The sequence below is a fragment of the Homo sapiens genome, chromosome 1, assembly GCF_000001405.40.
Source record: "Homo sapiens chromosome 1, GRCh38.p14 Primary Assembly".
Classification (NCBI taxonomy): Eukaryota; Metazoa; Chordata; class Mammalia; order Primates; family Hominidae; genus Homo; species Homo sapiens.
In genome coordinates, this window is record NC_000001.11 from 220,323,229 (window position 1) to 220,346,864 (window position 23,636).

The 23,636-nt window shown below is 42.8% G+C and overlaps 5 annotated features.

Annotated features, from left to right (window-relative positions):
* Nucleotides 12,663-13,862: an enhancer, noted in NCBI's record as "MED14-independent group 3 enhancer chr1:220509233-220510432 (GRCh37/hg19 assembly coordinates)". NCBI's record gives its function as "activates an origin of replication core promoter dependent on BRD2, BRD4, P300/CBP and CDK7 cofactors, and independent of MED14, by STARR-seq in HCT116 cells {active_cell/tissue: HCT116}" and the evidence as "EXISTENCE:reporter gene assay evidence [ECO:0000049][PMID:35650434]".
* Nucleotides 13,265-13,772: an enhancer, noted in NCBI's record as "NANOG-H3K27ac-H3K4me1 hESC enhancer chr1:220509835-220510342 (GRCh37/hg19 assembly coordinates)". NCBI's record gives its function as "activates a minimal SCP1, AML or CMV promoter by ChIP-STARR-seq in primed H9 embryonic stem cells {active_cell/tissue: H9 hESC(primed)}" and the evidence as "EXISTENCE:reporter gene assay evidence [ECO:0000049][PMID:30033119]".
* Nucleotides 15,296-15,803: an enhancer, noted in NCBI's record as "OCT4-NANOG-H3K27ac-H3K4me1 hESC enhancer chr1:220511866-220512373 (GRCh37/hg19 assembly coordinates)". NCBI's record gives its function as "activates a minimal SCP1, AML or CMV promoter by ChIP-STARR-seq in naive H9 embryonic stem cells {active_cell/tissue: H9 hESC(naive)}" and the evidence as "EXISTENCE:reporter gene assay evidence [ECO:0000049][PMID:30033119]".
* Nucleotides 15,804-16,310: an enhancer, noted in NCBI's record as "OCT4-NANOG-H3K27ac hESC enhancer chr1:220512374-220512880 (GRCh37/hg19 assembly coordinates)". NCBI's record gives its function as "activates a minimal SCP1, AML or CMV promoter by ChIP-STARR-seq in naive H9 embryonic stem cells {active_cell/tissue: H9 hESC(naive)}" and the evidence as "EXISTENCE:reporter gene assay evidence [ECO:0000049][PMID:30033119]".
* Nucleotides 21,637-21,686: an enhancer, noted in NCBI's record as "active region_2557". NCBI's record gives its function as "activates an Ori minimal core promoter by ATAC-STARR-seq in GM12878 lymphoblastoid cells {active_cell/tissue: GM12878}" and the evidence as "EXISTENCE:reporter gene assay evidence [ECO:0000049][PMID:35858748]".

Sequence of the window (23,636 nt, forward strand, 5' to 3'; positions counted from 1 at the left end):
GCGTGATCTCGGCTCACTGCAACCTCTGCCTCCTGGGTTCAAGCAATTCTCCTGCCTCAGCCTCTCGAGTAGCTGGCATTACAGGCACACGCCACCACACCCGGCTAATTTTTGTATTTTTAGTAGAGATGGGGTTTCACCATGTTGGTCAACATGGTCTCAAATTCCTGACCTTGTGATCCACCTGCCTCAGCCTCCCAAAGTGCTGGGATTACAGGTGTGAGCCACCGTGCCCTGCCTTAAAACCTCTTAATGCCTAGATGATGTAGCTGAAGAAAACTGTACTTGACACAAGACAGGGATGTCCAGCCTTGTGTTCATTAAGCCTCTTTTTCCTTATAATAATTCTAATGCCTTACTTTGCGTAACAGACTTGATCTGGTTTCTAAAACTATTTCATGAACATTAGTTTATTTTATTTACATAAATATAAGTCTTTCACAAGTGTCGTCTGAATCCCAGAAAGCAATGCTGCTTTTATTGACCAGAAAAGTCTTACAGGGAGAAGGCAGGGGTAGAAAGACTGGAGAGTTGGCAAGGGGCTTAGGCTGTGGTAGCTTCCACCAGAACCTCGGGATGTCCCTTTGGTTCTCTCAACCGTATCTGAACTGACACTGGACTCTGGCGAATTTGTGCCAACAATATGTTCATTCTTAGTTGAATATGCAGGGAATGTGCCTTTGCCAAGGTGTTCCCTGTTACAGAGGTCAGACTGTACATTCTCAATGTTATTCGTGGCAATAGCAACAATAGATACTGTTCCTGGGCACTTCACAGTGATTATTTCACTTAATCTTCACTACAGCTCTGACAGGGGAGTGGTATTATCCCAATTTTCCATATGAGGAAACTGAAACAAAACAAAGCTAAATAATTTGCCCAAAGATCCATGGTTAGTAAGCAGCAGAGGCAGGATCCTAACCCAGGTCTTAAATCCTCTAAACTTACAAACTCCTCCCTGGCCTCACAGCTTCCCACTGGATCTTCTCTTTTTTGCTATTTTCGTCCCATTCCTCAGGAGCTTCCTCCTGGACTATTCCTGGAAAGTCCAAATTCTTCTTTCTTACTTTTCTTTTTTCTTTTTTTTAAATGTGTATACATCTTGTTTCTTTACTAAGCAAAGCTGAGCAGACCCTGCAAGAATCTCAGGAAAACAAGAGGACTCTCCTGTCATAGATCCCTCTGCTTTAGAAAGCAATTGTGGTAGTTTATAGTGTGGTTGTTATTTTTCTCCTTTACACACACATTATCTCAATATTCAGTATAACCCTATGAGAAAAGTATTATTATTGTTCCCTTTTGCAGGTGAGAAAATAGTCACAAAAGAATAATTTAGGCCAGCATGGTGGCTCACACCCGTAATCCCAGCACTTTGGGAGGCCGAGGCAGGCAGACCACTTGAGGTCAGGAGTTCGAGACCAGCCTGGCCAACATGTTCAAACCCTGTCTCTACTAAAAAATCCAGAAATTAGCTGGGCGTAGTGTGGTGCATGCCTGTAATCCCAGGAGGCAGGAGAATTACTTGAACCTGGGAGGTAGAGCTTGCAGTGAGCCAAGATTGCACCACTGCACTCCAGCCTGGTTGACAGAGCAAGACTCTGTCTCCAAAAATAATAATAATAATTGTCCAAGACTGCAGTTTTTAGGTAGCGGAGATGTAATTTCTAAACACATCTATTTGACTCCAAAACAACTGTTCTTCTTTGCTATCCTCTTATGCATAATCTTGAAATGGCCCAGAAATTCTAATATTTATATTTCTAAATCCTGTTCCCCTCAATGGACACCTGCCCTTGGGAGCTATACAAAAATCCTTTTTCAGACCACATGTCTTGAGTTTTGGTTAGAGAAACAAGGTCAAAGACAAGAAGCTTTGTGTCCAGACTCTCCCAGGAATGAGCTGATATTCCTCCCTGTTCTTCTTTAGCGGTGAATTTCTCCATTTGGCAGGTGCCCCAGCAGGAATGATGGCTGGTGGTCTGGAGTGGCCTTCAGCCCCTTGGTGAGCCAGGCTAATTGCAGCTTCAAGGGAGTGCAGCCCTTTCTGAGTGAGCAGATATAAAAGCCACAGAGGCAAACAGGCAGCTGCTACTCTTTATTTTATTTTTATTTTATAGCAGTCTGGAGGCTTTAGTGGAGAGGGCAGGACTCAGGAAAGAGAACACATGATGGGCACTAATGGGACCACTAAGGTGCCTCCAGACTTTGTATTTCCTCTCTTGTGGTTTAGCTTCTGCTGTTGGGTTCTCACAGCCCAGAAGCCACGACTCAGCAGGGGTTACTCTCTCAGCACAGCCCTTTCTTGGTGAGGGTGAGTTCAGCTATGGGGAGACGCTCCTTACATTTTGTGATACTTGTGGACGCTGCCTGACAGATGTTCAATCAGCATTTCCAGCAGGCTGAGTAAGGAGCTTGTGCTGAGAAATGGCTTCAACACACCAAGCACCCAGTCCAGCCCCACACAGCAGGCCATCCTTCCCTGGCCTCTTCTTCCCTCACCTTTTTTCAGATCCAGGGGAGCTGGAGAGCCAGTCAGCCAGGGAAACAGTCATCTGAGTCATGTAATTCCTCTATTTGGCAATTATAGGGATGATATTCCCAGAAAGGCTTGCAGAGACACCAGTCATACATTTACCTTAAACTGCATGGCCATGTGCAAACAGCAGAAAATCCACTGGAAATCATAATTTTATCATGGTTTTGGTTTCTATTTTTAAATGAAGAATAGTTCAATTATTCGAAGGATTTAAATGAAGAATAGTTCAACAGTCATCGTCTCCCTTGCTCTCCTATAACAATACAGGCAGCTTCAATATGTGTCAAAAATGTAACCCAAGTCCCTGGTATGCTTTCTACGCCAGATTATTTACACTGTGGGTGATAGAAAACATCCACTTAAGAGTTAATGCCTGAAAGACAGGTCCATCCAGTGGGTCTTTCTTAGAGTTGAGGGCATTAAGGAGCAAGAGCCCTACTTAGACTAAAACGTGGAGCGTGCAGTAACCTCTCGAAGGTGACATCTTGAAAAAGACATGGCGGCCTTGGAAAGTTATCACAAAGTGATAACTGCCCTCTGGTTTTGATCCCTGCAGTCTAATCATGGATTGGAAATATCTGTGGATGTCAATGCTTGCAGACCAATGGCCTGTGAGAAGAATCAGGCACAGTGGTCACATATTCTGGATTCCCAGAATAGTCCCATTGTGGTAAACTGTTCAGTAAAAGTTGTTCACAAAATATGGAAGTAAGGTTCAATTTGTCCTCATGAGAACTTTCAAACGAGAAAAAATACACCAAAAATATAATGTTCTTAGACCACTGGGTTGTATTTTCAGTTTCAGTAGGTCCAAGTCTGACAGGTGAGGGAACAGCTGTTGCCTGGGCTCTGGATGGAGAGGGGCGATGTGGGTTGCCTGGGAGCCATCCCAGAAATCTTTTTGAATGAAGCAGGTTTAAGATTCATTAGAATGACATTGCGGCAAGCAAGGTGGAGGTCAGGCCCAGCCCAGGGAAAGTATGAGCCACATCCCTGAACTGACTTCCAGCTGGCCCTGCTGATCCTGCTACTTAGAGTTGCTGCTGAAAGCTAACTCTCTCTGTGTGCAGTCAATGAGTCATTCCTTAAAAATATATGTCATTTGCCATTTACTAAAATATATGCATGAGGGAGGGAGGAAGGGAGTGAAGACCAGTCAGACTACTCTCACATCAGCTTTAGGATCTGTTTTATTTTTTATTTTTTATTATTTTTATTTTTCTATTTTTTTGAGATGGAGTCTCGCTCTGTCGCCCAGGCTGGAGTACAAGTGGCATGATCTTGGCTCACTGCAACCTCTGCCTCCTGGGTTCAAGCAATTCTCCTACCTCAGCCTCCAGAGTAGCTGGAATTACAGGCATGTGCCACCACTCCCGGCTAATTTTCGTATTTTTAGTAGAGACAGGGTTTCACCATGTTGGCCAGGCTGGTCTTGAACTCCTGTCCTCAGGTGATCTGCCCGCCCTGGTCTCCTAAAGTGCTGGAATTACAGGTGTGAGCCACCACGCCCGGCCTAGGATCTGTTTTATACATAAGTACAACCCAATATTCTCCTGATCATTCAGCCTTTCCAGGAACATCCAAGGGAGGGAGCCCCTTACATCACAAGTGAACAAACTTCAAAGATTTGATGACAGTATTTGAAGAGGAGTTCAAGCAGACATTCGGAGATGAGGAGGAGTAATAGGAAGCATGGTTAATAAACCTCTGAAAAGAGATTCAAAATATGTATTTTGTAAAGCAGGGTCGTCGCAGTAAACAAGGTAAAATACACATCTGAAAAGAGATTGAGATATATTTGAAAAAAAGAGAGTCACAATATTTGAGCTGAAGGGCACAGGGGATGGAGAGAGTATTTACCAGGTTTGTTCATTGATTGTGGGGGAATGGGGTGCTGCTGTCTCTCATCAGTCCCACCTCTTGGGATGTACAAATCCACACATGTATACCTGCTTATTTATTAAGGTATAGTGACACCTTTCCAAGGATTGTGATTGTTACTTTTGTGATAAGTGACTCTAGAGGGTATGAAAATGGTGACAGGCAGTGAAGGAGGGCTTTGGGTGGGCTGCTGAAGACAAGAACTGTGATGAGGCTCACATTTAGGACCTGAGCTCCCCCCACCCTTTTCTGAAAAGTGGGCTTTTTTTTTTTTTTTTTAAGAGCAGTTTTAGGTTTGCACAAAATTAAGCAGAAAGCACAGGAAGTTCCGGTACACCTTCGGTCCCCCACAAACGCACAGGCTTGTTCATTGTCACAGTGATGCACTGGTTACAGTCCATAAACCTGCATTGACACGTCATTATTACCCAGACTCCATAGTTTTCATTAGAGCTCATTCTAACCTCCTTATTTTTCATAAGGGGTATAAGGGGCAAGCTCAATACCAGGGTCTGCACCAGGTCCCTTTCCTCTTGCATCTTTCCAGTTTCCCTTTTCTAAAGCCCTTATGCTCCCAACAGTTCACTCAGTGCCTATGCCCCATGGTGTCTGAGATCCCCATCTTATGGCCTGCACTGTCAGGGCACGTCAGGGTTTGCTGTTGTTGTTTTCAGCTTCCTCCCCACATCAGAGCTTTTTATTACATCTTCTTTTCCTGGGAAGAAGTTCAGTGCTTTTCAAGGTCACATCTAGTTATTTATACTCAAATATGAGCTAAGGTGATAATGAGGAGTATTGGAGGCAAGAGAAAGGCATGGGAGACAAAGCTCATCCAAAGGAAGCATCCTCAAATTCTGTGAATTTCAAAAAGCAGGCTTGAGCAAGCCAGAGGGGTAGATATGTCTGGGCCGGCTGGCTTCGGAGTACCTTTCAAGTCGTACCAGATAGGAGACCACCTGTTCTACGTGTGCAGAGTGAGCCCTGCATTTTCCATCACTATCATTTTCTTCACTATTTTAGACTTAAAATGCAAGAAGTAGGATTGTCTGGAAGTAATCTCTCTCCCTCCCTCTCTCTTTTCTTCCTTCTTTCCTTCATTTCACAGGTGGGAAGATTAACAAAAAGCTCAATTCAGGTGTCCTGGGTTGTAGCTCTTCAGGCAGTGGTGTTGTGGTGATGTTTAACAACCGGTTTGCTGAAAAAAAAAGTAAGTTTACAAGTTTGTTATGGATTTTACTGATTTAAAGGGTGTGTGGCATACAAGTTATTACTAACAAAATACATAACATAATTCATTATAAATTCCAAGTAGCCGATTGACTCACAAAATGCTTTTGTTACTTTTTGCTGCTTTCATATATCCACAGCCAACCTATGGCTACAATCCCATTGTGATATGACAAATAAAGATGTACTCTTCAATCTTCTAAATCTTTTCCCAATAAAGTCATTGTCATTACATCTGTAATGTAGTCTACAGTTTATTTACTATTTATCACTCTGTTACAAATTACAATCATTAAACTGAGACATCTCTCAGTCCTACTAATATTTATAATGTATTTTCCTAAATAATAATTTGGTTAAGAACTGGCTTGCAAAATTCCTGACAATTTAACAACTGGCTATTGTGAGCAAAGCCAGCTCCAGCACACCTCTGCCTTTGGGGCTGGCAGCCACCTGGCTTGGTTCTCTTCACATCTTCTGCAGAACAGAGCTCGAATGTAGGACTTAGTAGCCAGAAGCAGGAATGATGTTTGCTCTCTGTGGTGCCAGGCCATGGGAAGTCTGCCGACATCTCCATAGCCTTACATTCTGAGACTCCTGGAAAGCACCTAACAGAACACACGGGGGCCTCTGGTTAAGAACTTGAGCCTCTTTATGAAGTGACACCACCTCTCACCTGCCATGTCCTTTATTTCCCAGCTCAGGCAGAGATGCTAAACCCTCTCCTTGAGGAGAAAGCATGGCTGGGAAGGGGAGAAGGTAGGAATTTAAAGCAAGTGCTTTTCGGAGTATTTTCTTCAAGCCTCATGTCTTTCTACACACCTGCTTGGCACAGCGTTAGTCATACGGACAGGGTGACTCTTCATGGATTGGCAGGACAATCACCACCCAGCCCCAGCCCATTTTCTGCCCTTCAGTCATTATTCTTCACCATCTAAATCTGGTTTGCCATGAAAACCAGTTCTGGGAGGTAAGAGTTTTTTTAAAAACCAGCAAGGCCTGTAAATAACATCAACACACACTGGGAAGAGGGAAGGAGAAGGGACCCAGATAGCAGTTTTAACTCTTTGTTTATTAATTTCTCATCTAGGAACTTGTAATTCTATATCTGCTTCAAGCGGAAGAAGCATAGTCTTCCCTGAGACTTCACTAAAGAGCACATGATTTCCACTTTCAGATTTTCTATTGATTTGGCAGAGTCAATTGTCCTAATGCCGAGTTTTGTGTTTTTGCCAGTCGGGTGGCAGTGAGTTGCATTTAATTTCTAGTATTGTTAATACTCTCATTATTATACTACAGCTTGAATAAGAATGAGTAGGAGACAGAGCAGGAATGTGTGTGCCAAGGAAAGCCATTTAAAAAAAATCCAGTTTTTTTTTTAATCGGGATTATTTTTTAAGGTAAAATTCACATATCATATAAGTCACCATTTTAACCATTTTAAATTGTATAAATAAGTGGCATTTAGTACATTTACAATGTTGTGCAAACATCATCACTATCTAGTTCCAGAAACCCTGTACCCATTAAGCAGCAGTCACTCCCCAGCCCCCTCTCTCCCTCCAGGCCCTGGCAACCACTAATCTGCTTTCTGTTTCTACGGATTTGCCTATTGTGGACATTTCATATAAATGGAATTACACAATATGTGGCCTTTTGTGTCTGGGTTCTTTCACTTTCGTAATGCCTCCAAACTTCATCCATGTTATAGCATGTATTGTAAGTTACTTTTTAATTAAAAAAAATTAAAAAAAAATTAAAGAAGGGGAAAATGTCACAGGCCAGCTTCACGTGGCTGAATATCATCCCCTTCTACCCAATTTTACTTGACAGGCTGTGAAATAATTGCCATTGCAAACCTCTGACTGGGTGCCTTATCCAGATCCCAAGGAAATGGGCAAAGGGGACTAAAAAAAATAAAGTCCATCTGTTCCAGGTGAACTATTTCTTAAGTTTTAGTTACATTTTGATTTGTAGCTGCTTGTGGACTTATGTTAGCATTGTGTTAACAAGATCTTGGTTTAGTAATAACTGACCTAGTATAGTGTCTCTTTAATTGCTTTTGTTTTCCCATAGTTTCAGGAAAGTAAAATACAGTCTTGGTAATGCAGAAATAAAGGTTACAAACGAAAACCTATGACCTGATCAGAGATGAAAAAAAATAATGAAGGTTTCTCTTAATTCGAGGGTAGAATTTCAGTGACTTTACCACCTTAGTAAAACAAGCTCTCCATTCTTGACAGTTCTGTCAAGGGAATAATATAATGAGAATGTTTGTCTAAACCTTTTCTGGGTTCTCTGTGCCTCATCACTAAAGTCTACAACAGGAAAAACAAAGTCGTTTATGAGGTTCCTGCCTATCCTTCTATTGTCACTTTTTCTTTAAGCTTCTTACTGGACCGCAAACTCTTTGGGGGAAGGATGTATGTCTGATTCATGTAACCCAAATCTTTGACCATTCAAAGGCCCTCATCTGTGTAATGATAGGACTTCAGATAGAATCTTTTTATGTTGCCGTATTAGAGAAATTAATGTTAGTTGCAGTAACAAACAACCTCAAAATCTCAGTGGTTTAACACAATAAATGTTTATTCTTTGCTCCCATCACAACTCAAAACAGTTCTGGCAGCTCCCCTCTAAGTGATGACTCAGGGATTCAGGCTTCTTCTATCAATGGAGCTTGCTGTCTTCTACAGCCTTTTTGGAGTCCTCTGCATATCATCTGAATTGAGCTGACCAGCAAACAAAGAGAGATTAAGCAGAGGATGCATGCAGATTTTAGGGTCCAGACATTAAAGTGTCTACACCCCTATATTGAAGGGTCTACATCCCTTCCAGTCATGTTCCCTTGGCCAATGCAAGGGAATGGAAGATGTAGTCATCTGTGTGCTCAGCGGAGGAAAAGGATATTGTTGAGCATCTAGCCAATCTCTTCTATAATTTTTCCTTTCCCTCAGGCATGCTCAGCAAGATGTGGGTGGGGGAAAGTTGTCTCATGATGGTTCCCAAGTCAGTCGTGCCACATCTATGACTCTGCTTTGCCTGATTCCAGACTGGCAAACTCCACTCTACCATGGACCATCATTCACTTCTCTGCAGGTCACTTGATGCAGTTCCAGAACATTCTACCTCCCTTCAATCGGTGCTGCCACCATAAAGCTGACCTCAGGATGAGGAAACCTGCGCCCCCTTTACCATTCCATATAACACCTTCTTTTACTTGAAGCTAAGCCAAGATCAGATTGTAATAAAACTTTACTGAAAGCTTCAATTCTGCAAGAGGAAATTACAATCTAGAGAAATGTAAAACTGATATTAGATCTGACTGTTCTCAGGGTAGACTACTGAGGCCTGCATAGTTTCTGGCCTGCCTCACAGTTGTAGAGGTCAGCTTTCTTCTTCCTACCATAGGAGGAAGACCTTCAGTATGTCCCCCCTTCTGCTGAGCCCCAGGCCTCATGTCCCCATATCCCCCAAAAGGTAAAAAGTTCCCTGCCTTCTGTGTCTTTTCTTTCTGATCTGGATCTGTCCATTCAATATGATAGGTTCTGGAAATTTCTATTTCCTTTAGGAAAAAGTGCAACCTTCAACCCATGGAAAGTCCTCTATACTCAAAAGCACAGTCCCTTTAGCGCGTAATAACAGGACATCGGTTGTTTTCTCAACTGAGTTAGAATAACACCACATAAGAGGCATAATCCATCCAGTCTAGGGCAAGCGTTGCTAAACTCAGTCCAGTTTATTTTCAGTTTTATTATCTGTTTGAAGTAACACCCATGCCTGCATATCCTTGCCACCATCTTGAAGTCTCAGCAGCCAACCTCCTTGAGCAATTGCATTTCCAAGAACAAGCAATAATTTGTAGGATGATGTGTGTAAGTTCATCTTTAGCCACCCTCTCCACAATGAAATAGAAGTTTCGGACCATGCAAACCAACTGAACCTTTTGCAGCTGGAGAGTTACAAACCGTACATCCCACAAGAGGGCCTCTGTTCATTTTTTTTTTTTAAGTCTAAGGCTCTTTTGATGACAAATAAGAAGACTCTGCTAAATAACTTAAGCAGAAGAGCAGATGTATGGAGGATTTATTAGAGGGCAACAGGACCCAAGAGCAGGAGCTGAGGCTGTTTCACAGGGACTTAAGCCATTAGCAGCCAGTTTCATTCATGTTCTTTCTCACTGTGCATCAGCTTCCTCTCTCACAAATTGCCCTCTGCTTGTCCGTGCACAAGGTGGAAAGAAGACTGCACAGTATCCAAGTTTATATTGCTTCAATTCAGGCAGCCATCATTAATTTGCAAATGTCTCTTAGCCCCATTTTTAATTCTATAGAGAAATTGGTTCATCTTACATGGCTACTCTTTATCTTATTTACTATAGCCAGGGAGAAAGTATCATGTGGCATAAATATCTGTGCCAGTGTGTACCTTGTAAATTGAGGTGTTATTTCTATGAAAATTGAGGATTCCAGGGCAAATGAATCCTTGTCCAAAGGTAATTTTATAATCTACTGCTGATAATACAGAATATGCTCAAAAGTTTCATCTAGGCTGAGGTGGGAGTATTGCTTGAGGCCGAAAGTTTGAGACCAGCATGGGCAACATAGATCCCTTCTCTACAAAAAATTAAAACATTAGCCAAGCATAGTGACATGCTCCGTAGTCCTAGCTACTTGGGAGGGTAAGGTGGGAGGATTGCTTGAACTCAGGAGTTCGAGACTGCAGTAAGCTATGATTGTGCCATGCTGCACTCCAGCCTGGGTGACCGAGGTAGACCCTGTCTTTTTAAAGAAAAACAACTTTGATTTGAGATTTTTCTGGATTTGATTATCTTCATTAAAGTGTCAGGGATCATCAGGTTCAAGTTTGGTTTGAAGCCCAAATTCCTTGTTTTTCCCCCTCCCTGTGGAATCCCTGTAGAAAGGAAACATCTTCCAAGTGTAGAGCCTCGGAGTTAAAGCTAGTCCTGAGATGACAGCTGGGAAAGGTCTATGTTCCACTCTCACATCTAGCTTCAGGTGTCTTGGTCCTTTTTTGTAATACTTGCATCAACCCCAGGCCTTGGGCAGTTCTTAGCACAAAGTAGGCCCTAAATTAATACTTATAGAATGAATGGATCATTGGTTGATTTGAACCATTCCATTTGCTGGCTTCCAGAAAAACTTCCAGTTAACTGGTGATTTGCTCAATGTCCCAAGCCTTTCTTTTTTTTCCATACTGTAAATCAATAGACTTTTAGTTGAAATTTTTTGTCTTTAGCTTTCTGGAACTTTCTTAACTCTCTTGACAAGCAAAATTGTTACTTCCTCTATGCTATGATACTAACTGGCTTACATCACATCATCAATAAATCTTTCATCATACTGAATTTCAGTTACTCACACTCAGATCTGCTTACCCAACTAGATTATTAACTGCTTAAGGGTAGGCATTCTAGTTCTATATGTCTAGTGCATGTTGAATGCTCAAAATATGTTTTGTGAAAGTATGAATCAATCAATCAATAAGCTATGTTTCCTGGGATATACCAGCCTTCAGGTAAAAACTGAGTCATTGTAACAATAATCAAACAGTTCTTCTCTGGATATGCCTTTTTCTTATTACACATCCCTCAAATTCTAACCAGATATTTTTTATACTGTACTGGAGTGAGTATTGTATATTTTCTCATATATTCATTATTTCACACACACACACACACACACACACACTTTTCTTTTGAGGCAGAGTTTCACTCTTGTTACCCAGGGTGGAGTGCAATGGCATGGTCTCGGCTCACTGCAACCTCCACCTCCTGTGTTCAAGTGATTCTCCTGCCTCAGCCTCCTGAGTAGTTGGGCTTACAGGTGCACACCACCACGTCTGGCTAATTTTTGTATTTTTAGTAGAGATGGGGTTTTGTTTGGCCAGGCTGGTCTCGAACTCTTTACCTCAAGTATTCCACCTGCCTCGGCCTCCCAAAGTGCTGGGATTACAGGTGTGAGCCACTGCGCCTGGACTATTTATTTTTTTGAGATGGAATTTCGCTGAGTGCAGTGGCACAATCTTGGCTTGCCACAACCTCCACCTCCCAACCTCACCCTCAAGTGATTCTCCTGCCTCAGCATCCCGAGTAGCTGGGATTACAGGCACCTGTCACCATGCCTGGCTAATTTTTTGTATTTTTTAAAATAGAGACAGGGTTTTACCATGTTGGCCAGGCTGGTCTCAAACTCTAGGCCTCAGGTGATCGACCTGCCTTGGCCTCCCAAAGTGCTGGGATTAAAAGCATGAGCCACCACGCCTGGCTACATATATATTTAGATGTCTGCTAAAGCCAAATAATATACCGGGGCCTGGGAATGCAGTAATGAGGATTGATGATGTTGATGATGATTATGATGATAACGATGATTCCTTTAGTATTTGAGAGTCTTAATAAAACAGCACTTCTCATTCCTGAGTTATGAATCAATCTAGAAATAAGCCAAAAGAACAGCATATAGAGTCAAAGTTGTAACATTTAAAAAATTACTGATAAAGCTTATATGGGAAAATGAGCCTTATATCTATGGCCAAGGGGTCTTCTGAATACTAACCCCCCAGAACTATTTAGGCTCACCCACTCAATCAAGGCAGTGATTCCTTACATGGTCTGTCCCCATGAGATCAGCCACAGACAAACAGAAAGTGTACTATCTGGGGGAAGGCTAGCCCCCAAGAGAGAGGGCAGGGAAGAATTAATTGATGGAACAAGATCCTCCTGGTTACCCCATGGCTATTGCAGTTTTCCTGCCAGCCTTGGTTTTCATCAGCCATCATTCTTATAACCAATACTGAAAGCCACGTTCCTGTTGCCAATATGCCTGGAAGATGAAGCCGCTGCTGGTGTTGGCCAAAGGCACTTCCACTGCTGTGATTGCCCAGCAACACCTGTGCCAAGGCTACTGATGCCTGGTCAAGGCGATAATGTCTGAGCTGACTCCTGTGGTTGCCAAAGTCAACAAAGTTGCTGAAGAAGTTGTTGGCACCAGAAGGTTTGCATGCTCAGCATCTCTCAGAGCTTAAGAGCTCTTGTGGTTTCTACTTGCTATTTTCCTGCAGCCCCTAGGCATAGATTTCAGGCTGGGTCAGTGAAGGCTGAGCAGGAGGATACTCCGAGGGACAGACACAGGCCAATGACAGAGATGACTCCAAATGAGGTTATTCATCCCATCTCAGAGAGATGCCACCTGAAGTGAAAGAAGACAGCACTCACCACACAGCCCTTTTCTTGTGTCCCTATATTGGACCACATCACTATACTAAATTATCAATTACTAATACTTCTAAATCCATTCATGATCTTGTGAATAATACCATTATTTGCAATGTGTTTTGTGTTAATGTTAAAGACATTAATATGTTAAATGTAAATTTGCGAAATGCCTCTTTATATAACCCAGTTTTGGTATTTCTTAATGTAATATTTCAGGAGTCTCAAAAACAAAAGGAGTTTGGTGCTTCTTCAACCTCCAAGGGGGCTCCCATCTCACTTCTTTTGCCCTTTTACCCCTCCTACTCTGGACCACTGTCCTTGTATCAAACTTGTTTGCCTTAGAAGCTCTCTTTCCTAAGAAAGGTTCTTCTCCGGGAGGTTCTTCTACCTTTCTCATAAGTAAGTCTCTGTTGCTGACCCATGAGTTTTTGCAACAAGCCTTGACATGCCTGAGTCCTAGAGTGAACCCAGCTTAGGCTCATGCTGGGTTCCCTATATGTATAAGGAATGAATCAGGAAGGGCTTACCTGCATTAATCCAGGAGCTTAATTAAACTAACAAGAGCAACCATCACAGGGTGGATATAAAGAGGAGCTTGTTTCTTGGATTTGTTTCCATTCTTCCTCCAACGTTAGCAACTGTTCAATATTTAGCCCTAACTAAATCAGCACATTTCAGTAGTCACACCTAGAAATCTTATGAGTACATGCGGAATTTAAGGAATGTTTAGAAACAAATGTTGTTGGGGACTTGAATTAACAAAGCTTGCTGGGGAGTTCTGGATCTTCCTGCATTTTGTTTCCCTCACAGAAGGTGTTCTTCTGTTTATGTTTAGGACTCAAATGTATTCTTGATTTGTGTTCCTCTGAATTCCCTAACGAAGGTGTTTATTCAAATGCCTGGCTGGGCCCGGTGGCTCACGCCTGTAATCCCAACACTTTGGGAGGCTGAGGTGGGTGGATCATGAGGTCAGGAGATCGAGACCATCCTGGCCAACATGGTGAAACTCCATCTCTACTAAATATACAAAAATTAGCCAGGCGTGATGGCGGGCGCCTGTAGTCCCAGCTACTCTGGAAGCTGAGGCAGGAAAATCGCTTGAACCAGGGAGTTGGAGATTGCAGTGAGCTGAGATCATGCCACTGCACTCCAGCCTGGGCGACAGAGCCTGACAGGCTTGTGGCAGTAAAGAGGAAGTAGATAAAACTTGCGTCCTTGGTTGAAAAACAAACACAAACATGTATCTCTTTATGAATGTGTTGACATAGCACACTTTTGCCTGCTGTCCTGCTGCTGACCAATTAATCTAACCAGCTTCTCTTCCACATGCAGCATCATCCCCCATCTCTGAGTGAAGTCCACAATTAATGAGATTCTTTGGGTGGTTGTTGCCATTGCTGACTCACTGGCTGTTTTAGCTACAATGCCTCACCAGTGTATACCTGCCTCAGGCACAGACGGAATGCTGGGTGGCCTGATGCTATCTTAGGTAACTAGAGCATTGCTTCTGGAAGTGAGAAGCTGCCTTTAAATTATTCAGTGAGCCTTCTTCCAGTTCACAGGCCTTTCACAACAGTAGGGAAAGCAGCAGCAAAGTGCCATGATGGCCTGGAAACAGCAGGATTTACAGGGAAGGCAAAAATAGGGGAGGAGGATTCCACAGCTGGAATACGCCAAGCAGAGACTAGAGTGTTGCAGAGCCTGCACCTGCTCACCTCTTTTCCAGGTGGGAATGTTGGAAGAGAAGTGGAAAGGGCGTAGTGACTCTCAAGCAGGGTTACTGCCACCTTGGCGACATTTGTTAGTTTGCGTGTTAATGTGTGTATTTTTTAATTTTTATTTTTTAGCACTCTCTGATAAGGAGATAATGTGTGTTTTGTTCATTTGTCTGATTCTTGTTAGACTATTTTCTACTTGAGAGTCCTATCTTATTGATGTCATTACAATGTTATACACTCAACTCTGGCACTTAGTTACTCTTAATAAACTTATATGGAATGAAATGTGCTCTGTTTGAACTTCTCCTTTTAGCTCTATTTGTATGCTGAAAAAAAAAATCACAAAATAACTCTAGTTTTTTCACTTTATTACTTAGTTCTCAGTCCTGCATATACTCGAAGTCAGCTTTCTTTTCTCTGGGTTGAACAACCACATCAGATGCCTGGTAGTCTCAAAGGGATTGATTACTTGAGGATAAATCCTTAAATATTCTTGAAACAACAGAGATTAAAGCACACACACGCATATATATGTGTGTGTATATCCATATATATAGATATATATAGATTTTCTTTTTTTTTTTTTTTTTTAGACAGAGTCTCACTCTGTTGCCCAGGCTGGAGTGCAGTGGCACAATCTTGGCTCACTGCAACCTCCTCCTCCCAGGTTCAAGCGATTCTCCTATCTCAGCCTCCCGATTAGCTGGGATTACAGGCACATGCCACCAAGACTGGCTAATTTTTTTATTTTTAGTAGAGACGGGATTTCTCCATGTTGGTCTGGCTGGTCTCGAACTCCTCACCTCAGGCAATCCACCCGCCTCAGCCACCCAAAGTGCTGGGATACAGGCATGAGACACCGTGCCCAGCCAGCACTCCCAAATTGTATTGGCCACCATGTTAAGTGCTTCTGGGCACTACAGATCTACAGATCTGCTACAGACATTCTTTTGTCGGGAAGGGAAAACTTTTCCTCTAGCCTCTTTAGTGACAGAGTAATGAGTGAAAAAAACAGTTTTAGTTACACACATATGCATGGTTCTGGGTAAAGTAAAATGTGGCTCAAGGAGGCAGCCAGAACTTAGTGTTTACATGCCTTCTTAGGCTAGACAAAGAAAAAGAGGTTTGGGGCTTGCTGAGGGGGTAAGTTATGCAAGGTGACCAAGGGCTGTGTGGAAACAAGAGTTGTTTATCAAGGTTTGTTATGCAGATTTCAGGTGGTGCCTTCTCCATTGATAGGAGTTGCAGCAGCCATCCTCCTCCTTCCTGGTTTGGGAGAGGGAGACACTTTTGCAAATGTAAATTTCTTTTATAAAATGTAAGCTTCCTTTAAGAAAGGGAAATTTATGCTCTGCTTCAGAGCTTTTTCTGGGTATGATGTTCCTCAATTGCCTTCAGCTCAGAATAATCCTTATGCCAAAAAGGCCTATTTTGGGGTGGCATATTCTGGTCTCCTTCACTATTATAGTTCATTCTACATCAGGATAGATTTTGAAAAGTAGTTGTGCTTCCCTATACACAATCAGCACACTTTGGAAGCAATAATACTCATTTCTATAGGTCTCTGGGGTTGCTAGGGTGCTTCACTGGGCAGAGTCCAATAACCTCAATTATGGAAGCCTTACTCTATGTCTTAGAGTAAAATCATTTTCACCCTTTCATGATGGGCAAGCAATAGGCTCAGGCTCCATTGCATGTATCTCAGTATGCGGGATAGCACAAACAGGAAAGAGAACACGGCAAGTTAGAGGAATAGAGTTCAATATAACTGGAGTATTGAGTGCAATCTGAGCCCAGGGAGAGCTAAGGGTCAAAACCAGATGTAATGGGTATTTTTTGTGTGCATCCCTGGCATCCAATCCTTCCTTTCCTGTCAATAGCCCCCTTTTTCATTTTGAGATTCATCCCTTATGCATTTCATTCCTTGTGGTCTAGATGGAGCTCTAGGTCTGGGGGTGGAAATTGGATTGAGGCCTGAGTCAACTGGCATACCATGTTTTCTTGGCACAAGAGTGGGATCTAGACTGGTCTTATCTGTGTGAATTTCTGGACATTTCTTTTTCTTTTCTTTTTATTTATATATATATTTTTGAGACGGAGTCTCACTCTGCTACCCAAGCTGGAGTGCAGTGGCACAATCTTGGCTCACTGCAACCTCTGCCTCCCAGGTTCAAGCAATTCTCCTGCCCCAGCATCCCAAGCAGCTGGGATTACAAGCATGCACCACCACGCCTGGCTAATTTTTTGTATTTTTAGCAGAGATGGGGTTTCACCATGTTGGTCAGGCTGGTCTCAAACTCCTGACCTCAGGTGATCCACCTGCCTCTGCCTCCCAAAGTGCTGGGATTACAGGCGTGAGCCACCATGACTGGCCTGGACAGTTCTTAAGAATTCTGAATCAAAGACACCCACTGTTTTCTACCAGATTTAAACCTAGAAATAAGTTGTTTCCAGAGCAGGTGGCAGCCATTCTGAGGCCACAGGGAAAGAGCCCATCTGAGAATGGAATCAATACAGCAGTTGAGTCATGGGACAGAGAGAAAATGGGTCCTGGAAATATCATTTGAACTCCTGCATCATGATGTGCCTGAACTTCTGAAATTTCCAATCACATGAGCCAACACATTACCTTTTTGGTTTAGGCCAGTTTGGGTTGAATACTCTCTTATTTGTAACTGCGAAAGTCCCAGTGTGTATACTGGGTTAGCCAAATGCCTTCATCAAGTCCAAAGAGTGAGCACAGGGTGAAGATTGAGAGAAAAAGCCAAACCAATTGTAAGAGGACACTGGAAAGGTCCATGGAGTATGAGTAATAGCTGCCATGAAGTGAGAAGATCTGTGATGATGGCCATGAGTAGGGACATGCCAGGGGCTGGGTCACCAACTGCTATCCTACTTATCTTCCAATTCTTTTTTTTTTTTTTTTTTTTTTTGAGGTAAAGTCTCACTCTGTCACCCAGGCTGGAATGCAGTGGCGCGATCTCGGCTCACTGCAACATCCGCCTCCTGGGCTCAAGCAATTCGTGTACCTCAGCCTCCTGAGTAGCTGGGAGCAGGCACCCACCACCATGCCTGGCTAATTTTTGTATTTTTAGTAGAGACAGGGTTTCACCATGTTGGTAATCTTGAACTCCTGGCCTCAAGTGATCTGGCCACCTTGGCCTCCCAAAGTGTTGGGATTACAGGAGTGAGCCACCATGCCTGGCCCAATTCATTTTTTAAGTTTAATTTTTTTGATAAGTCCCAAACATTCTTATTTAAAACATAGCTTTAGTCCTCTAAATATGGCATATAAACCTTCCCAAGGCCTACTGACCTTCTGAGAAGTATTTGAACTATATAAACCAAAAATAAACTAAGTCCCTTTTCTAAAAGTTTCAACCATCTGAAAATCAAAAAGAGACATAGAATCCTACATTTCAATTTACTGCAAGTCTTAGTTACCAATAGCAACAGATAGTTATTTTGAACACAGTCTCTAACATTGCTCTCTTTCTTTTTATTCTTGTTGGCAAATGTGTAGAAAATCTATAGTAACCTCCCACAGAATGAATATGGGATGATTTCAGATAGTCACGGACACATGATATATTACCTTTCAACCTCTAACAAATACTCAGCATCTATAACTTCAATTCCATTATTACTTTTCATGCTTGCTGATTAGAACACAGGGTTCTCTCATGGTGAGAGGTTTCATTTAACTTATACATAAATATGGTGCTGATGCTCGAGTGAATAGTTCATGAAGAAAAGAGAGTATACAATGGATTTCCAAAAACCACTGCTGTGAAGGAAGAGATGATTTGGGGCTGGCTGAGAAATTTAACTGTCACATTCAAATGCCTGCAGAGTCTAAACCTTTCTATTGCTGAAGAGTAGTGGTTTATTCTCACAAATCCTTTTCATTCATATCTAGGAAATTTTATGTATCATTTCCAAGCCATAGAATGCATCTGTGACCCATCTTCAATCTAATTATTTGTACCTAAGGACAGGTCAGCTGGTGATAGGTGAATTAATATGCATACTTTTGTGTGGAGGTCATTTTAATGTTGAAAACACTGAAGCTTTCTGTTCTTTGAACATATAGTCCAAGTAACTGAGTAGTTCATTATCCCTCTGAAGGTTTCATGTATATTATTTTTGTCTCTTTATCTAGGTCCCATAAGACAGGAAGAAAAGTCCTTCCTCCGGGTTGGAGAACAGTTTTCCCCATACTTCTAGCCCTGCTGAGCTCCCAGGAATGGGTGACCACCATGTGGTCTCTGCTCACCTACCTGAAAATGTGTACTGCCCTCTTAAACCTGTTAGCTTGTTCCCCTTCACTTGAGTTCCTCTAACTTTAAACATCATGTGTTGAACTCTTCAGCTGCCTCTGCAGCTGAGGCAGGTATCTCCAGCCCTCGCCCCTCTTAATTTTAGCTTCTTGTTCTCAGTATATTCTTCTTCACTGACTCAGGCTGCTGAGCCTTAGGTGTACCCTTAACTAGAATTCACCAAGTTATGACAGACCAGATTAAGAAAATGCAATATTTATTGGAATTACTGTCTACTATGTGACTATATAGTAATTTATGAATATTCCCATTACAAAGTTGAAACTTTGCTGTCCTACATCAAAATATGAGTAAAAAAATAAATAAAATGCAATAGTGTATCTGTTATCTGTTGCTACCTAACAAATCACCCCAACACTGTGGTTTAAAATAACATTTATTGCTGGGCGCAGTGGCTCATGCCTGTAATCACAGCACTTTGGGAGGCCAAGGTGGGCAGATCACCTGAGGTTGGGAGTTCAAGACCAGCCTGACCAATATGGAGAAACCCCTTCTCTACTAAAATTACAAAATTAGCCGGGCGTGGTGGTGCATGCCTGTAATCCCAGCTACTCGGGAGGCTGAGGCACAAGAATTGCTTGAACCCAGGAGGCGGAGGTTGCAGTGAGCTGAGATCACACCATTGCACTTCAGACTGGGCAAGAACAGCAAAACTCTGTCTCAAATAAATAAATAAAATTAAAAATGAATAAGTACATAAAATAACATTTATTCTCATAAATCTATAATTTGGGCAGAGCTTGGCAGGAACAGCTCATCTCTGTTCCTCCTGGCGTCAGCCTAGAGTCACCCAAAGATTGGCGTCATCTGGAGGCTCTCACTCACTCACTCACGTGCCTGCTGGTTGGTGTTGGGCTGACTCAAACAGCTGGGGCTCCTTGAGCATCTTGTTCTATTTCCATGCAGCTTCTCCATGTGTTCTCTCTAGCATGGCAGCTTCTGAATAGGCAGATTTCTTATGTGTCAGCTCAGGGCCCCCAAGGCGTGTGTCACAAGAGAGAGCCTGGTGGACAATGTATTGCTTTTTCTAACCTACCCTCAGAAGTCATGTGGCGTCACTTTTACTGCATTATATTCACTGAAAGCAAGTGACTAAGACCAAGATAATTAAACTCTACCATGTTATGTAAGGTATATCAAAAAGTGTGCAGACTTTTTTTTTTTTTTGAGATGGGGTCTTGCTCTGTCACCTAGGCTGGAAGGCAGTGGTGTGATCTCGGCTCACTGCAACCTCCGCCTCCTGGATTCAAGTGATTCTCCTGCCTCGGCCTCCTGAGTAGCTGGGATTACAGACATGTGCCACCACACCCAGCTAATTTTTTTTTTTTTTTTTTGAGATGGAATCTCGCTCTGTTTCCCAGGCTGGAATGCAGTGGCGCAGTCTCAGCTCACTGCAACCTCTGCCTCCCAGGTTCATGCCATTCTCCTGCCTCAGCCTCCCCAGTAGCTGGGACTACAGGTGCCCACCACCACGCCCAGCTAATTTTTTGTATTTTTAGTAGAGATGGGGTTTCACTGTGTTAGCTAGGATGGTCTCGATCTCCTGACCTCGTGATCCACCCGCCTCGGCCTCCCAAAGTGCTGGGATTACAGGTGTGAGCCACTGTGCCCAGCCAAAAAAATGTGCAGACTTGTTTGAAAACCAAGAGATGTATGACTCATCTCCACTCTGTGGAGTGCGAACCACTCACTCATGTCTGGGTGTCTCTTTCCATGTGGTTTCTCATCTTTAAGATGAAGCAACCCTGGGCTTGTTCACATGGCATCACATTCCAGAGGGGAAAGAGTGGAAGCTGTGAAGCCTAGGCTCAAACTAGCAAAATAACATTTCTGCCACATTCTATTGGCCAAAGCAGGTCACAAGGCCAGTCCAGCTTTAAGGAGTAGGAAATACGCTCTACCTTTTGATGCGAGAAGTTGAAAGAATTCATAGCTAGTTTTGATCTTTCACATGTGGTCATCCAAACTTCTTTCCTTGAACAATAGGAGTTAAAGAACAGAGTCCTATGATTCAAGAAGGGTTAGCTACACGATCTCAAACTTCTCTGATTTGTAGTAAAGTGGCACAGGAAGCTGTGTTGAAAAGAGTTTCTCAGAGTGTTTTCTTTCTAGGTTGCAGAGACTGCCTTTTCCTTTTTCCATAGGGAAAGATTGCCTATGAATCCTTCCTTTGTGCATGACTATGCAGAGAGAGTCATGAATCAACTAACTCTCTACCTGAGAGACAGTAAGGCCTGGAGAAGTGTAAGGAAGGGGAATGCAGTCTTCAGGAGATGACTGAGGGAGTGCTCAATGCTGCCTTTTGCGTCCTCCCTAAAACTCACACGTTGAAATGTGAATGGAGGATGGAAGAAATCAAGTGTCCCATAAAAGCATTATGGAGGGCAGGATGAGGAAATGAGTTTATTTTGGGAACTTGCTTCCTTATGGGGTACAAGGCTGAATGAGGCAGGATGGGCTGAGGGCAGTGCTAGGCCTCACTGAGCTGTCTATCTTTCTCTAACTCCATCTCCCCAGTCTTCCACATGCTCTTCTGACATGAGGAATACTCCAAGTCCCTCTTTCTTCCTGGGGGCACACTGCATCTCTTCACAGGTTAGAAGATCCAAACCCTGTTCCCTCTTGTGTCTTGCGCACTCAGCCATCTCAGGCTTCAGCTGGACATTAGTGGAATCTTCCCCAGGGGCTTCTGCTGGCTCCCAAGAGAGGGGTGGCTGAACTTAGCCTTTGTCTTGGCCCACGTGGATGTGGTGTAGGGTGGGGGAAACTCTGAGTGAGTCAATACTACCCCATCAGCAAAAACCATGGCTAATTTCTCTTCAATTACCTAAAAGCAGTCATACCATGGAAAGCCCCAATTTTGCTCTTTCACTGACCTTCTTTAACATGATCCTGACCCTCCTTCTTATGAAATAATAGCCCTAGCTTTATTACGGCATCTCTCTGTTAACCAGAAGAATGATTCAGAACTAATCAAAATGCCTTACTCTGACAGGTTGTAATACATGTATTCCATTTTTTAAAAATAAGTTAGTTATCATAGTAAGAAGAAAGGATCATTTTCTCTTCAAAATTATTTCATAATGAATTAATTACGAGTGACACTGACCTTAAATGATAGCTTGATAATTTCATGAAGAAGCACATTTTGTTCAGTAAAGAAAATGAGAGGGCTAGTTTCTTTGTGTTTGTAGAAATTCACTAATTTATAAATGTTACAATTAAGGGCACTAATGGTGCTTATTGCTGCAGTTCAAGAGAGAGGCCAGAATAAATGGCAGAATCTTGCCCAAATACCTATTACCTCTTGATCTCATCTTATACATTTTTCTCTGCCTTCTCTGACCATAGTTTTGACCCATTTGATGATTTGAACGTGAAAATGAATCCTACTTTCTGCTTTGAGAAAGATGTAGGGGATCTAGATTTAGTTCATTGATGAAGTGTGTTCAAAGATGTAGACAGAGTCCAAGAAGCAATGGCATGAATCCAATGTGGCTTGATAAGACATCAAGGGGCTTTGGGTCAGAAGCTCTTTTATCTGAAATCTGCCTGATAGTGTGAAATATAAATTGGAATTGAGATCCATGGCACAACATTGCAGTTATTCTTGCAATGGTAACATGGCAAAACATGGGCCAAAACATTCCTTCCTGATCCTGCCCCTCCTGAGTGGTATCACAATTCAACACTGGCCACCCATGGTTTGTGGCAGCCGTCTCACTTGTCTAGCAGCACTTGCTGAGCAGGCATTTCATCTTGCCAGGATTTGCATCTGCGCAAAGCTAAGGAATGGGTAAGGTGTCAGGCTTCCAGGGTTAAGGGAAAGGAAGAAAATGGGTGGCTTAGACTATGTTTTGCCTTTGAGTTCTCAGGAAGATGCTAATGTGGAGTTGGAAATATAAATTAAATCTCCACATCAACAAACCAGAGTTCTCTAAATGTGGAATTCAATTCAGCATGGGGAAAAGCCAAATATTTTGTTTAAAAAATCGGCCCTTAACAACACACATTTTTGTGATTATTTCATATAGAAGACCAAAGGCAAACAATAGAAAAGTGTGCTTTCCTTTCCTCACATAAAATGATCTTCTTGGGCCGGGCGCAGTGGCTCACGCCTGTAATCCCAGCACTTTGGGAGGCTGAGGCGGGTGGATCACAAGGTCAGGAGTTCGAGACCAGCCTGATCAATAATATGGTGGAACCCCATCTCTACTAAAAATACAAAACTTAGTCAGGTGTGGTGGCGAGCTCCTGTAGTCCCAGCTACTTGGGATGCTGAGGCAGGAGAATCACTTGAACCTGGAAGGCAGAGGTTGCAGTGAACCGAGATCACGCCACTGCACTCCAGCCTGGGCAATAGAGTGAGACTCCATCTCAAAAAAAAAAAGATCTTCTTAAGGATGCTGAGGAAGGGTACCTGAGGTCTTCAGGTAATTAGAAAACACCTGTTAGCAAAGCTGCCCCAGAAGCAGAAAGTGTTGCAGCTAGAAAATTGTCAGAGAAGCAGAAGGGTTGGATGGAGGGTCTCATCAAGAGGGAGACTCACCACGTGTTTACCCCCATCTGACAGTCCTTTCTGCTGGCCCTTGGCTCTCTGGCTGTGCTGTACTCTAGCCCAGAGCCTCAAGCATTGTCTTTCCCTTCCATTTCCTAACTCTGACCATTGCTCTGAAACTGATTCTGCAATAGGAGCC